Here is a 14,721-nt window from a genome sequence, read left to right as displayed (position 1 = left end):
AAGAATCATAGAAAATGCAGTTGATTTCTGATTTATCCAGGCCCTCTGGGGAAGGAAATGCCTCCTTTCCTTCAGGCATTTCTGAAGGAAATCATGGCAGTCTTCAGCGAGGCAAAGAAGAGGCAGAGCTTAAAACAAATACTAGGATTCCAGCCTGTATCTTCCCTCCAGACTTCACCTACTGGCCATTTCACGGCTGGTAAAAATCTCCATCAATGTAGGCAAAGGGGAGTCTAAACTTTTTTGGTGGGGGGGGGGTTGCTTTTTTGTATTCTTTAGTATTCTTAATAGAAACCTGGTAATGTAACGAAAATACAAGTTTAATCACTTGCTGCTTGCAGAATCCAATTCACAAGAGTGAGGTCTGGTACGAAGAAAGTGACTTTATTCCAAAGCTAGCTTAGGGGAAGAAGTATAGGCTCCTGCCTTTAAGGTACTGTTTCCCTTCTGGGACAAAAAACAAGGGCTTTTACAGGGGGACTTGGCATAAATGGCATGCAGAAGAGGGTGCAAGCAGGTGCACGGTCTATGTGACTTCTTGGGTGCCTTATCTACCCGATGGTCAAGCTGACGCCATTGTGGGCAGAGCTAGATTGTAAAATGGCCATTGTTTCAAGACACTTGGACAGAGTTCCCTCATGGGCCTAACTGAGGTTGTAAATTGACTGTTGTCTCTTAAGGCCTTCTCCTGGTGGGAGAGAGTCCCAGCTCTCAAGCATTGAAGTGAGCACATACATAAGCTTGCCATGCAGGGAGTGTCTGGTAAAAGGGAAGGTAAAAGTTATGATTCCATTTCTAAAGAGCTAAGCAGGAAGTAGAGAACAGGGAAAAAGGCTGAAAGAGAAAAGAAAAAAATTGTTTTTTAAGTAACTCATTCTCTTTCTCTTAGAAAAATGGAGTACTCAGTTATAGTAGGAAAAGACTCAAATTATAATCCAAATTAAGGTATTTTTAAAAAATGTTCTTTCTTCCATTTTTACTAGTGAACAGATAAGCACTCTTGCAAAAAAAAAAAGGAAATGTCAGAAAGAAAATATGGAGTTGGTTTAGTCACTAGTAAAATGTACAGAAACGATGTGAATAAAAGAGATGAAGACAACTGCCTGCCTACTGAAAAATATCCAATGCACTGGTTTTAGAAACAGCGTGTATAGCTTCATGTGGTATATATGAAGAATGTGGGTGTTGGAGTCAGTAGATCTGGGTTGGAATTCCCATTTGTCCCTTCCTAGCTGTAATCTCAAATTACCTCTCCTGTAAAACCAGGCTCATAATACACAGATTGTAAAGGAGAATTAGATGAGAACATGTAGAAGGTGCCTAGCACAGAACCCAGCCCATGGTGGACCTTCTAGAATTACTGATTGCCCCTCCCCTTGTCTTATTGCCTGTCATATCAGGGCTAATATATCAGCTTGAGGTATATATACAGTATCTAGATCCTTAAGGTTGTTAAAAGAATCTCCCTATTCCCACAGACTTTGGTCTCCATCAGAAAAAGTGACAGACATTCAACCAGACTTTCATATAACTCAGTGACAAGACAAAAATGAGGATCCATGACTTCCATATCTTGAAGCAAAATACCACCAAAAACCGTGAGGCTGAAATCGAAAAGGCAGTAGGAGACACAAGGCACCCATTCAAAACAAGAATGTATTGTATAGTTATTACACTAAATACCACCATATTTATTACACTAACTCTTTTTTCTCCCTCTAGAAAACTAATGATGATACAATTGATTTTGATTATACTGTTCTACTTCATGAATTATCAACACAGGTAAAACATAACATTGTATGTAGAATTGTTTTTACCATAAGTTTTTGCAGATTATAATATTTTATAACTCTATTTCCTAGGAAATAATTCCCTGTCGCATTCACTTGGTCTGGTACCCTGGCAAACCTCTTAAAGTGAAGTACCACTGTCAAGAGCTACAGACACCAGAAGAAGCCTCCGGAACTGAAGAAGGATCAGCTGTAGTACCAACAGAGCTTAGTAATTTCTAAAAAGAAAAAATGATCTTTTTCCGACTTCTAAACAAGTGACTATACTAGCATAAATCATTCTTCTAGTAAAACAGCTAAGGTATAGACATTCTAATAATTTGGGAAAACCTATGATTACAAGTAAAAACTCAGAAATGCAAAGATGTTGGTTTTTTGTTTCTCAGTCTGCTTTAGCTTTTAACTCTGGAAGCGCATGCACACTGAACTCTGCTCAGTGCTAAACAGTCACCAGCAGGTTCCTCAGGGTTTCAGCCCTAAAATGTAAAACCTGGATAATCAGTGTATGTTGCACCAGAATCAGCATTTTTTTTTTAACTGCAAAAAATGATGGTCTCATCTCTGAATTTATATTTCTCATTCTTTTGAACATACTATAGCTAATATATTTTATGTTGCTAAATTGCTTCTATCTAGCATGTTAAACAAAGATAATATACTTTCGATGAAAGTAAATTATAGGAAAAAAATTAACTGTTTTAAAAAGAACTTGATTATGTTTTATGATTTCAGGCAAGTATTCATTTTTAACTTGCTACCTACTTTTAAATAAATGTTTACATTTCTAAATAATGAAATGTGTTGAATGTTCTCGTGAAGATTTGTATACAAAGGAAAAATTTGTGCTAAACTGGAATTAAATGAAATGGTAATATTGCTTAACTTAAATTTTACAAATAATAGAACGTCTGTCTCACCAGATAAAGCTGTCTGCAAACATGCATCAAAAGAAACACTGATGTAACTGAAAGTATATTAAATATTTACAATTTTCATTTACAAGGACAACTTGGACTGAGTGTTGGCCTAAGTAATTTATAAAGGCAAACACAGTATGTACAATAATCAAATTCAGTGGAGTACCTCCTTAAGGCAGGAGGCATTGATCCAGGAAATGTTGTCATCATTTGCCTCTCAAAATTAGTATCACTTAATGGAATGTTTATGTCGGTGTGTAAAAACCTTGAGCCAGGTTCTGTAGCCAGTAACTGATTAGGAAATATCAGCCTTAAAACATACCAAAACATTACTTCTAAGTGTGCACTGTTAGACAATCAGAAAAGTTTACACTAAAGAAGGCATGAACTCATATAAAATAAAATAAGCTGATCTAGTTTATATATTTTTCTACTTAAAACCCTATGCTTTGCATTTATCTTCCCAAAATCCAGCTGATTTACAATTAAAAAAAATTTTTTTAATTAAAAAAAAAAAAACGGCTGGGCGTGATGGCTCACGCCTGTAATCTCAGCACTTTGGGAGGCTGAGGTAGGAGGATCACTTGAGCCCAGGAGTTCATGACTAGCCTGGACAACATAGTGAGACTCCATCTCTTTAAAAAAGTTTAATGATTTAAAGATTTGTGGCTGGGTGTGGTGGCTCATTCCTGCATTTTGGGAGGCCAAAGGCAGGAGGATCACTTAAGCCCAGGAGTTCAAGATCGGCCTGGGCAGCATAGTGAAATCCAGTCTTAATTTAAAAAAATACATATATATATATATAAAAATAAAGAGTTGTAGGTATTTGGAAGCATTGCAAACAATCATTTAAAAGACACATCAGCTCTCCCACCTATGTGATAATGAAGAGATACTCCTTGTAAATTATCAGAAATAATCCACAATGATTAAATTATGCCAAAATCAAGTGATAAATTTCTGTAACTGAAGTTCCCCAAATGATCTTCAAAAAAAGTCCTAAGAGCATTACAACAGTATATTCAATGTCCTATGATATTTAATCAATCTTTTAGCGTCACATTAAGGACTAGAAAAGGGCATTTACTTGGTGTTTCAGCTTTCTAGAGTCGGAGCTTTCTCAAAGTCCTCATCCCCATAAATGCATTTTTCTTTTTTCCTTTTTTTGTTTGTTTGTTTGATCTTCACTGGGCAGCTATCTTGACTTTGGAAGGAAATGGTTATCTATCCCAGGATGTCCCACACCAGCTGATTATGTTGCCCAGGCTGGTCTCAAACTCCTAGGCTAAAGGGATCCTCCCACCTCGGCCTCCCAAAGTGTTGGAATTACAGGCATGAGCCACTAAAGGCATTTTTCATTACTGAGATTAGGCTCACAAACACATCCATAATCCAACCAGGTAATGTTTCTAAGGTAACCTTTTAGCAGATTTATTACAGTACAATAGATTATGAGGGGGAATTCTATACATACAAATAATATACAAACACAATTACCTAATTTATTAATTTACAAAACCCAAAAAGTTAAACCAACTAAAAATTTATCAGTATCACCATCAGAACATCTTTTCTTTTTTTTCTTTTTTTTTTGAGACAGAGTCTCACTCTGTTGCCTAGGCTGGAGTGCTGGAGTGCTGGAGTGCAGTGGTGCCATCTCAGCTCACTATAGCCTCCGCCTTCCGGGTTCAAGCGACCCTCCTGCCTCAGCCTCCTGAGCAGCTGGGGCTACAGGCGTGAGCCACCCCGCCCGGACGATTTTTGTATTTATAGTAGAGACGGGGTTTCACCGTGTTGGCCAGGGTGGTCTCGAACTCCTGACCTCAGGTTATCCACCCACCTTGGCCTCCCAAAGTGCTGGAATTACAGGCGTGAGCCACCACATCCGGCCTCAGAATATCTTTTCTAGCACAAACTCTAAAATTGTTAACTTAATTTTACCAACATTGGTTTCACTAGCTAATAAAACAGAAAAATCACTTGGCATAAAATGAAAAACTATTCCCTATGTCCTCTTTTCATTAACAGTCTAAATTATTCTGAATCACTCTTAGCTAATTACAATTACATACAGCTTGACATTCATTTTCCTAATACCTTTAGAACTTTCTTAAGACATATAAAATAATACCAGGGATTTTGTCTACATTCCATTTTATTTTATTCATACTTTCATTTTCTTCCTACCTGAATTACGAATTTTTAGAAGTTGAACAAGTTCTTTTGAAAGTCAGTTGGAAGCTTATATAAATAGGAACACTTTTTTTTTTAAGGTAAAGTTATCAAGCCAGGCATGGTGGTGTGTGCCTCTTGTCCCAGCTACTCCAGAGGCTGAGGCCAGAGGACTGCTTGAGCTCATGAATTTGTGAGCAGCCTGGGAAACACAGCGAGACCCCATCTCTTTAAGTTCAGGGGTTGATGTGCAGGCTTGTTACATAGCTAAACTTGTGTCCTGGGGGTTTGTTGTACAGATTATTTCATCATCAAGGTATTAAGCCTAGTACCCATTAGTTATTTTTCCTGATCCTCTCCCTCCACCCACCCTCCATCCTCCAATAGGCCCCAGTGTGTGTTGTTCCCCTCTGTGTGTCCATGTGTTCTCATTATTTAGCTCCCACTTATAAGTGAGAACATGCAGTATTTGGTTTTCTTTTCCTATGTTAGTTTGATGAGGATAATGGCTTCCAGCTCCATCTATGTCCCTGCAAAGGACTTGATCTCATTCTTTTTTTATGGCTGCATAGTATTCCACAATGTGTATGTACCACATTTTCTTTATCCAGTCTATCAGTGATAGGCATTTAGGTTGATTCCATATCTTTGCCATTATGAACAGTTCTGCAATGAATGTGTGCATGCATGTGTCTTTATAATAGAATGATTTACGTTCCTTTGGGTATATAGTAATGGTATTGCTGAGTCAGATGGTTTTTGTCTTAGAAGACCCCATCTCTTAAAAAAAAAAACAGTTGTTAAACAAAAAAACCAAACTCTAATATCACACAAAAGAATACAATATGACACTCCTGAATTTCACAGATTTTTCATTTCATGTCTTGGGCTTAAGCGCAGTGCAGGCAATATTTCAGCGGTCTTTAACTTTGTCTGCATATTAGAATCACCCAAAAAAGTTTTTATCTTGATCCAGCCAAATAATCTAAATATCTGGGTGTAGGCCTAGGTATTTCTTTTTAAGGCTCCCCCAGTGATTTTTAAAGTACAGTGAGGGTTGGGAATCAGTACAATACTACCTAGTGCTGCTACTGTTGTCCAATACAAGGATGTAATATTTGAATTAGCCAACAATTATCCTTCTTGATAGTAGTATAAACAACCCTCACCTATGAATATTCTCATTAATTTTTTTCCATGCTACAGACTTTGGTTGGTATGTGATCTTTGCCAACTATAACTAATGACTTAGAAAGAGATGTGGGTTCTAGTCCTGATCTGTCCATTTGTGAACCTATTCTAATTACTCCCACCAGCTAGGCCTGAATCATTACCTATGAAATGCTGGTGTTGGATTAAATATCTAGGACCTTTTCTAACACTGTAACATTATAACCAGGATGTTTTACAAATTAAAAATAAGTAAGTTTTTTACTTATTTATCCAGTTTAGTTCCAGTAGTTGTGACTATTCTCAATAGCCATAGGAATCATGCTAAATTCCATGAAGGTACACAGAATGTATTTCCTCATTAGGAACAATATTCAAAGTTATTGTGAATGTCACAAGATGCTGAGGAAATGCCAAAGCAACCACATTTTTTCAGACCTGATGCTACTGTAGCAACAGACATTCATGGGGGAAATGCACTTGGTGAATAATTGTAATTAAAGTATCAATTAAAAAACTTAGGTTTTGTGGTCTCATTAAAGTTATTTACCTTATCTGTGCTTCTTCTATTACAAAATGGACATAATAATAGTACTTACTCTCGGGGTTGTGAGAATGAAATTATACAATGCATTTAAAGTATTTAGCAGCCAGGCATGGTGGTTCATGCCCATAATCCCAGCACTTTGGGAGGCTGGGGCAGGCAGAGAGCTTGAGCCCAGGAGTTTGAGACCAGCCTGGGCAATATGGCAAAACCCTATCTCTTCAAAAAATGCAAAAAATTAGCAGGGAGTGGTGGCGCACACCTGTAGTCCCACCTACTTAGGCAGCTGAGATGGGATAATTGCTTGAACCCAGGAAGCAGAGGTTGTAGTGAGCAGAGATAGTCCCTCTGCATTCCAGCCTGGGGGATAGAGTGAGACCCTACCACAAAAAAATAAAAATTAAAAAAAAAAAAGTATTTAGCAAATGCCTTGAAAACATGTGCTCAATACTTTTTAAAGATCTTTTTCCCCTAGAAACCTTAAAGTATAAAGCCACGTCTATAAGTCAAGAAAAGCAAAGGAATTTAAAATCAATTATTTTATTTCTACCATCAGGTAATGAAAAGGACTAGGATCCATCTATACCATCAGATGATTTTTGGATGAAGCAATTCTGAACCGGGTAATAGAACTGCTTGGGAAAGCCCAACTTTTTCTGGAAACAAAAGATTAACATTTGTCCCTTCATAATCTCAGTGAATACAATATACGATAAATTCCAAGGAATTCAAATTTAACTAGCATTCATTAGGTTGATGAAACTAACTCTATAAATTACATTTGATTTAGCTGTACAAAAACATTAAGATGAACACAAACAAGAATAGTATATGCAAGGGTCTACTTTTTACTTCACAATAGACCACAAGGAAGTAATACTTATACTCCTAAAACAGAGGCAGTTACAAATTTGCAGAAACCACAAACTGAAATAAACAGACATATATAAAACAGAGAGAAATTTGGCTAATATTTTAATATCCCAATGAAGAATCTGAAAAACACTCTCTATGAAGAACATACGGAATCCACTCTTCAACAGAAAAGCCTGCCCATTAATGACACTCCAAGAAGTGTCATGATATATGCGATTCACTTTCAAGTCTTCAGCAAACTAAAAATAGAGTTATGAGACTTAAACAGATAATAGACAGTGAAAGCAAATATGACAAAACAAATTATTATATGATAAACAACCCGTTAACAAAGGAAGGTAGATGGAAAGTATGTGGTTATTCTTTGCATTTTTTCAGCTTTTCTCTATGTTGAAAACTCTTATGATACAAAATTTGGAAATGAACATACATTCTAAGCTTAAAAGTATAACTGAAATTAGTCTCTTTTCCCCTTAAATATTAAACATATTTCAGTAATAATTATATTTTATTTGAGGATTTTCAATGAACTATAAAACCAATCAATAGAGTTGAGATAGACATAGAATTACCTTTGAATATAACAGAAGCTCCTGAATATGAACAAGAAGGGCTTCTTTTGAAGAAAGAAGAGCCCGCTTCCTGGGCTCAGAATTTCTTGTTTCAGCAGCCTGAATTTATTCCACTGGAATCCATCAAAGTATCAAAACCACGCAGATTCAATTAGAGTCAGTCAACTCACAGTAAGCAAAGTTAGTTCTTGGCTTTTCCTTTTTTAACAGGAAGTTGACCTGTAGCTTCCAAATACTTATTAATGACGTCTTCTTGTGTGGATGGTAAACATGGCTGATACCTGCTATACTCCATTGTGTATTCTCCCTTTCCCTAGGGATTTAAAAAAAAGAGAGGGTTTTTTGTTTGTTTGTTTGTTTTTTAAACTATCAAGTAAAAGTCATACAAGGTCAAGATTTTATAATATGATCATTCTGTAGGGTGGTCTTTTGAAGGGTAAGTTTAAATTTGCCTACCTCTGTGCATGACCTAAGTTCAGTGGAATAACCAAACATATCATTTAGAGGGACCTGAAAACAAACATAGTAGATATTTTAGCACTGCTTATTGGAAAATATTTGAGAAAAATACAGACGCATTTTAGCCATTTAATTCCTTTAGATTAAGATTTCTGCTCACTACTCTTAGTTTAAAATAATTAAAAGCCAAAGAGAAACATTTCTGTTTTATTCCAAGTGGAAATCCTATTTGAAAATTATTTCATTTGACAGTCGCAACCAGAAACCAAATCTTTCCACTTCGTGGAGTGAACACCATTGACAGCCTTCCCTCCTCATCCCCACTCCGCTCTGTAGCCCCAGCTCAAGCACTCAGAAGTGCTTCTTCTGAGAAAATGTGAATACGACTTTCCTTTGGACACCTTAATGATATGCTGAGAGTAGTGTTTTCCAGGAGGCCTTATGAAATGTAATAAACACCTTCTCCCTTGAGATTTAAGTCAAGAAAGGTACAGGCAAGGTAATTAAGAGGGATAAATTAAAGATAACAATAAAGTAATTATGCAAATAAAGCTAAAATGAGAGAGATAATATACATCTTATTTTATTTTTCCTTTTCTTTTTAATTTGTCCATCTGTGCTTATTCAAGAAAGAGAGATAATATACATCTAAGAAAATGACACATTCACAAAAGGTCAAGATAAAATAAATCTTATTTTTAACTTCTGCACTTAAGAGTTGCTTTAATAGCAAATTACAGAAAATGCCACATGTATAAAGCCACAAATTCAGCAAGGAAATGTGTCCATTTGCAAAAACAAAAGCTAACCTGGATTTCCTTCTATGGTTAATAAAAGCAGGACTGCCAATGACCAAGACTACTTACATCTGCATACAGTGTAAAATAGTCCTCAACTCCATCTTGCCCAGTGATTACCCCATGGCGTCGGTTAATTCCTGCAATTACTTGTCCCTGAAATTCATTTGGAGCTACAACTTCCACAGCCATAATAGGTTCAAGAATACATAATGTTGCATTTGCCAAGGCTGGGTTAAAAAAAAAAAAAAGTTCATTAGTCTTCATACAAACTACAACTCTTCTGTCCAGATATAAAAAAGGGAGAAAAATGATGCTTTCCCAAAGGTACAAACACAAACGGCAAGGTTAAAATATTCGACCTAGACTCATTTTTCCTGTAGTAATAACAGTCACTCTTCTAAATGGAAATTCCAACATTTAATTTTAATATTGGTATTTCCATTATCATATTTTTATCCTTAAAACTCATTAAATAGCAGAGAATAATACAAAAGGGTCTTAAAACAACATCTGATGAAGTCCTTTACCATCTAAATTATCCAGCTGAGTTATTTATTCTCTCTGAAAATCGTCAGGGTTAAAGATAATAACTGTTACAAATTTGACCAAGGTAAACCCATTCTTTCTTTTTTTTTTTTTTTTGTCACCCAAGCTAGATTACAATGGGGCAATCTCGGCTCAATGCAACTCTGTCTCCCAGGTTCAAGCAATTCTCCTGCCTCAGCCTCCGAGTAGCTGGGATTACAGGTATCTGCTACCACTAATTTTTGTATTTTTAGTAGACACAGGCTTTCGACATGTTGGCCAGGCTGGATAAACCCATTCTTTCTTGTGGTCCCTGGCAGGCAGTTATTTTTAATTATAAGAAAATAATTTTTGTCACAGGGCAGGAGGGGACGTGGAGGGTACCCTTCCTATACTCAGAAGCAAGAATCAAGCCACGCCTACGATCTGTCTTTCCTTTTCTAGTCTGAACAATTTCATCACCTGATTGAGAATGAGAAGATCAAGTTTCTAGTTTTTGCTCTACCTCAAAGAAGCTATATGCCTTCTGGAAAAACACAATTTGTCCAGGTCTCAAATTTTTTCATCTACAAAATAAGGATTCCGGACTAGATTGGGCCATTTAAACACTAAAACTCAGTGTGTCTGTATTTATTTTTATCCCATTTAATACATAACCAAAACACTTCTTTCTGCTAAAGTGCTAATGTTTAAATGTAACAATATGGAGAGAATATAATAAAACGTCAAACATTTACATTTAATTTGGAAGTTGTGATAGTGACAAATACTTCCGCCTCAGGTTTGTTACATTATCTCCAAATAAAGGCTTTCAGCAAAACACAGAAATGATGACAAGGGTAATATTTTGTTTAAATATAATCACAGGTTTTCCAGAAGCATCAATTTGTTTATAATAAACCAAAACTAACAATTTTTCTTATATATTTACTCAGTGCTTCTTCTAGAGACAGTATAGCTTAAGTGCAATAATTATGACAACAGGAATGTAATTAGAAATATTTTAAATTTAAATCATATCCTAGCTCACACCTACCCTCCTCGACTAATTAGTTCTAATGAGTGAATTTTGTTCTGAAAGAGAAATAACTGAACTCAAAGAGATACTGCAGACTCCTATGCTTCACTGGCTAAGCCCTGCAGAAACCTACATGGACATCTAAATCACACTAACAATTTTAGAGTATAGAAAAAGTTCTATTCCTTGCATAACTTCTTTACAACAGGAGAGCTTCCTTGGCTCTAAAGAAATGTAATTAATATGAAAAAAAGCACCCAGAAGGAGATATGTGAGCAGATATAGCTAGATTTAGTTACACATTATCTAATGTTCTCAATAGGATAGTAATGTAAAACATCTAGATTGTGAAAGGGTAAAGGGAAGGAAAGAGGCAAGTATATGGTGTCCATCACTCAATTACTGAGGACAGCCTTTCTGGTTCTGTTTCACATCCCCTTACCCTGCTCTCTTCCTTGTAACTCACTAAATCTACTCCCTGATTTAGTTCCAAATGAATCTTACCCTTACACATGCCTTCCTCTAATCCTATACCATAAGATAAGATTCCAAAGCCAACTCGCCTGCCATTTTTCAATAGCCACATTGCATCCAAGTCCTAAAAGAAATTTTTCCTCCAGCAGATCTGTAGTCAATTTTACATTTCAGTTTTAGGTTACCTCACTGATCAGTATCATGAAAACATTTAAAATTAGGCTCAAATGAATTCTAGTGTTCATTTTTTAAATCAAGAATATGGGAGAATTTGAACTATTGTTCTTCCAATTTTGACAAGATATAACATATAATAATAGTATACTATTATAATAACTATAATATCTTACAGTTATAAGCTATTCTTATACTAAGCTCATTTACCAACATTTTCACTGTAAAACTCTAATGTGGCATTCAACAGAGGTGTATGTAAAAAAAAAGTTGATTTTCTTGCTGAGTGTGGCAAGAACTTCCTTTCACCTGACTTTTATATTTTTGTCTTTTTTTAATCAGGATAGAAAAAGCTAATTTTTATTTTTACTTCAAATCTAATGTTTTCTAAAAGTTTTAATTTTTAATTGACAAATAATAATTATATAGGCCAGGCGCAGTGGTGGCTCACGCCTGTAATCTCAGCACTTTGGGAGGCGGAGGCAGGTGGATCATTAGAGGTCAGGAGTTCAAGACCAGCTTGGCCAACATGGTAAGACCCTGTCTCTACTAAAAATACAAAAATTAGCTGGGTGTGGTGGCACGCACCTGTAATCTCAGCTACTTGGGAGGCTGAGGCAGGAGAATTGCTTGAACCCAGGAGGCGGAGGTTGCAGTGAGCTGAGATCGTGCAACTGCACTCCAGCCTGGGCAACAGAGTGAGACTCCATCTCAAATAATAATACTAATAATAATTGTATATATTTGGGGGATACAGTGTGATGTTTTGAGGACTTCTTTCAATCATGGAGAAATAAAAATCAGATGAAGAAACAGCAATGTAACTTATTTCTCATGCTAGCATCCTGCTTGTGTGCATAGTATATTTTGTAAAAAATAAAACTACTCAACCAGCCATGGTGGCTCACACCTATAATCCCAACACTTTGGGAAGCTGAGGCAGGAGGATCGCTTGAGCCCAGGAGTTTGAGACCAGCCTGGGCAACAAAGCAATACCCCACCTCTACAAAAAATAATAATAATAAAAAATTAGCCAGGCATGGTGGCATGCCCCTGTACTCCCAGCTACTCAGGAGGCTGAGATGGAGAATCACTTTGAGCCCAGGAATTCGAGGTTGCAGTAAGTCAAGATCATAACACTGCACTCCAGCCTGGGTGACAGAGCAAGAACCTGTCTCAAAAATAGAAAAGTAATCCCAGCACTTTGGAAGGCCAAGGTGGGTGGATTACTTGATGTCGGGAGTTCAAGACCACCCTGGTCAACATGGTGAACCCTTGTCTCTACTAAAAATACAAAAATTAGCTGGGCATGGTGGTGCATGCCTATAATCTCAGCTACTTGGGAGGCTGAGGCATAAGAATTGCTTGAAACCATGAGGTGGAGGTTGCATTGAGCCAAGATTGCACCACCGCACTCCAGCTCCAGCCTGGGTAACAGAGTCAGACTCTGTCTCAAAAAAAAAAAAAAAAAAAAAAACCTCAATTCAATTATAATCTAGTGTTTTTCCCCTGTATATTTAATAGGCAATTAATTATACTTAATAATATATATACTATACCTAAATAATAAAAAACTAAATGGTACATATTCAACTGTTTAGTTAATATTCATATACATTTTTTCCACAGGAAATACATATTAATATATTAGCTCCAAATGAATCTTACCATTACACATGCTTTCCTCTAACCCTAGAACAAGAGACAAAGCTCCAAACCTGACTCACCCTGCCATTTTTGGATGGTGCATTGCATCCAAGTCCTAAAAGATATATTATATATATACACATTTTATTTTTTTATATATAAAATGGCCATATACATTTTTTCCACAGAACATATTTATATATTTTATATATGTATCTTTTTCCCACAGTATATTATACATATTATATATTTATATATATACTTTATATGGTTTATATATATTTTATACTTTATATATCATATATTATATAATACACATATATATGCATATATACTTTATATATGTATTTTATACAAATACATCTATAAATATATATACACATATAATATATAACATATTATATATATCCTGTGGGAAAATGTATATGGCCACATTATTTATCTATGTATATATATGGCCACATAGATCTGTATTTACTCATATTTAAATGTAGGAGCAGTTAAAAAGGATGAAGCTCCTTGTTAATTGATAACCATATCAATTATCTGGCTTTATGTAACCTCTATTTCCAGGAAAGCTACCAATTTCCAGTAAAGAACCAGCATAGAACAATCAGTACTTTCTAATTTGTTTTAACTGTACTTCTAAAAAGTATATAAAGTGATTATAACTAATTTGTCAGTTTAAGACATACTAAAGTGGTAAACACACAGAGGTAAAAAGACAAGTATTTTAATGTGAGTGATGCCTAATAAAGTCTCATTTTCTTTGTCATTTTACTTACCTGTTTCCTATTTACACAATCTTCAGACTGTGACAAGATTTCTACATCATAAATTTCAACTGCATTTTTAATAGAGAGCTGATATAAAGGAAATCTCCCTATCATAACTGAGAAACTGAAACATAAGTAAAATAAGGAATCAGCAACCCTCCCCAACCACTGCCCCATACCTGATCACAGATGCGAAGTGTGACCAAAAACACCACAAAGTTCAAATTCATACAGAATCAATAAATCCTGATCTACAGAATGTTTAGGAAATATTATGATTAAAGTTTCTACTGTCCACTTTAATCCTCTTTGATAAAGATATTTCTGAAATGTTTTGTGAATCATAATTCTACTGTGTAAAGACACCGGTGGACATTACTAATGTATTTTCACATAAAGGACATGGAAAAGATGACAAAGAGAATGGAATTTTCTGGCTTCAGGAAATGGCTTTGAAGTTCCTTTCTTGAATAATCCTGATGTGAAACTGCTACATTGTCACTAGTTTTTTTTCTCTTAAAAGCGAAGAATCAGATATGTTTGCAACTGCATAAGGTTCTAGTTCATCAGCATTTAAATACAAATATTACTCTGTGAGAAATGTTGACAATTTTAGCAGTTTTGCAAGAAATCTGCATTGTGAATAAGGTTTACCAAATTCTTTGAAAATACTTTGCCATCCTCAAAATGCCTAAAAGCATACAATGTCATAATGAAGAGATTACTTACAAATTTATGGATTTCTTGACATTTCAATAAGTCACTAGAAATAAGACTGTAGTTAAGATACCTTTTAAAAATTTC

At 35.6% G+C, this 14,721-nt stretch overlaps 2 protein-coding genes across 15 annotated transcripts in view; one reads left to right on the top strand and one right to left on the bottom strand.

The window, feature by feature from the left end:
• Positions 1 to 2,801, top strand: part of RARRES1 (retinoic acid receptor responder 1) — a 35,566-nt gene extending 32,765 nt beyond the window's left edge. For both annotated transcript variants that reach the window (XM_005247686.6, NM_206963.2), the window contains exons 5-6: positions 1,723 to 1,785; positions 1,866 to 2,801. In XM_005247686.6, the coding sequence (XP_005247743.4) occupies positions 1,723 to 1,785; positions 1,866 to 2,015 (213 nt within the window). In that variant the 3' untranslated portion in view covers positions 2,016 to 2,801. The remainder of the gene's footprint in view (positions 1 to 1,722; positions 1,786 to 1,865) is intronic.
• The window catches only part of GFM1 (G elongation factor mitochondrial 1), a 51,055-nt gene continuing 40,445 nt past the window's right edge, over positions 4,112 to 14,721 (bottom strand). For 10 of the 13 annotated variants that reach the window (NR_164500.1, NR_164499.1, NR_164502.1 and 7 more), the window contains 3 exons: positions 9,370 to 9,530; positions 8,501 to 8,554; positions 7,121 to 8,357 (listed from right to left, as the gene is read on the bottom strand). Coding sequence is in view for 9 of the 13 variants with exons in the window: in NM_001374357.1 (NP_001361286.1) it covers positions 8,226 to 8,357; positions 8,501 to 8,554; positions 9,370 to 9,530 (347 nt within the window). In the remaining 4 variants the exon portion in view is untranslated. Of the gene's footprint in view, positions 8,358 to 8,500; positions 8,555 to 9,369; positions 9,531 to 14,721 lie in introns of all 13 variants that reach the window. The other 3 variants (NM_001308164.2, NM_024996.7, NM_001374360.1) reach the window with 2 other exon arrangements.

This window comes from Homo sapiens, chromosome 3 (genome assembly GCF_000001405.40).
Source record: "Homo sapiens chromosome 3, GRCh38.p14 Primary Assembly".
Classification (NCBI taxonomy): domain Eukaryota; kingdom Metazoa; phylum Chordata; class Mammalia; order Primates; family Hominidae; genus Homo; species Homo sapiens.
The sequence above is the reverse complement of the archived record's forward strand: the minus strand, read 5'-3'. Positions and strand labels throughout refer to the sequence as shown.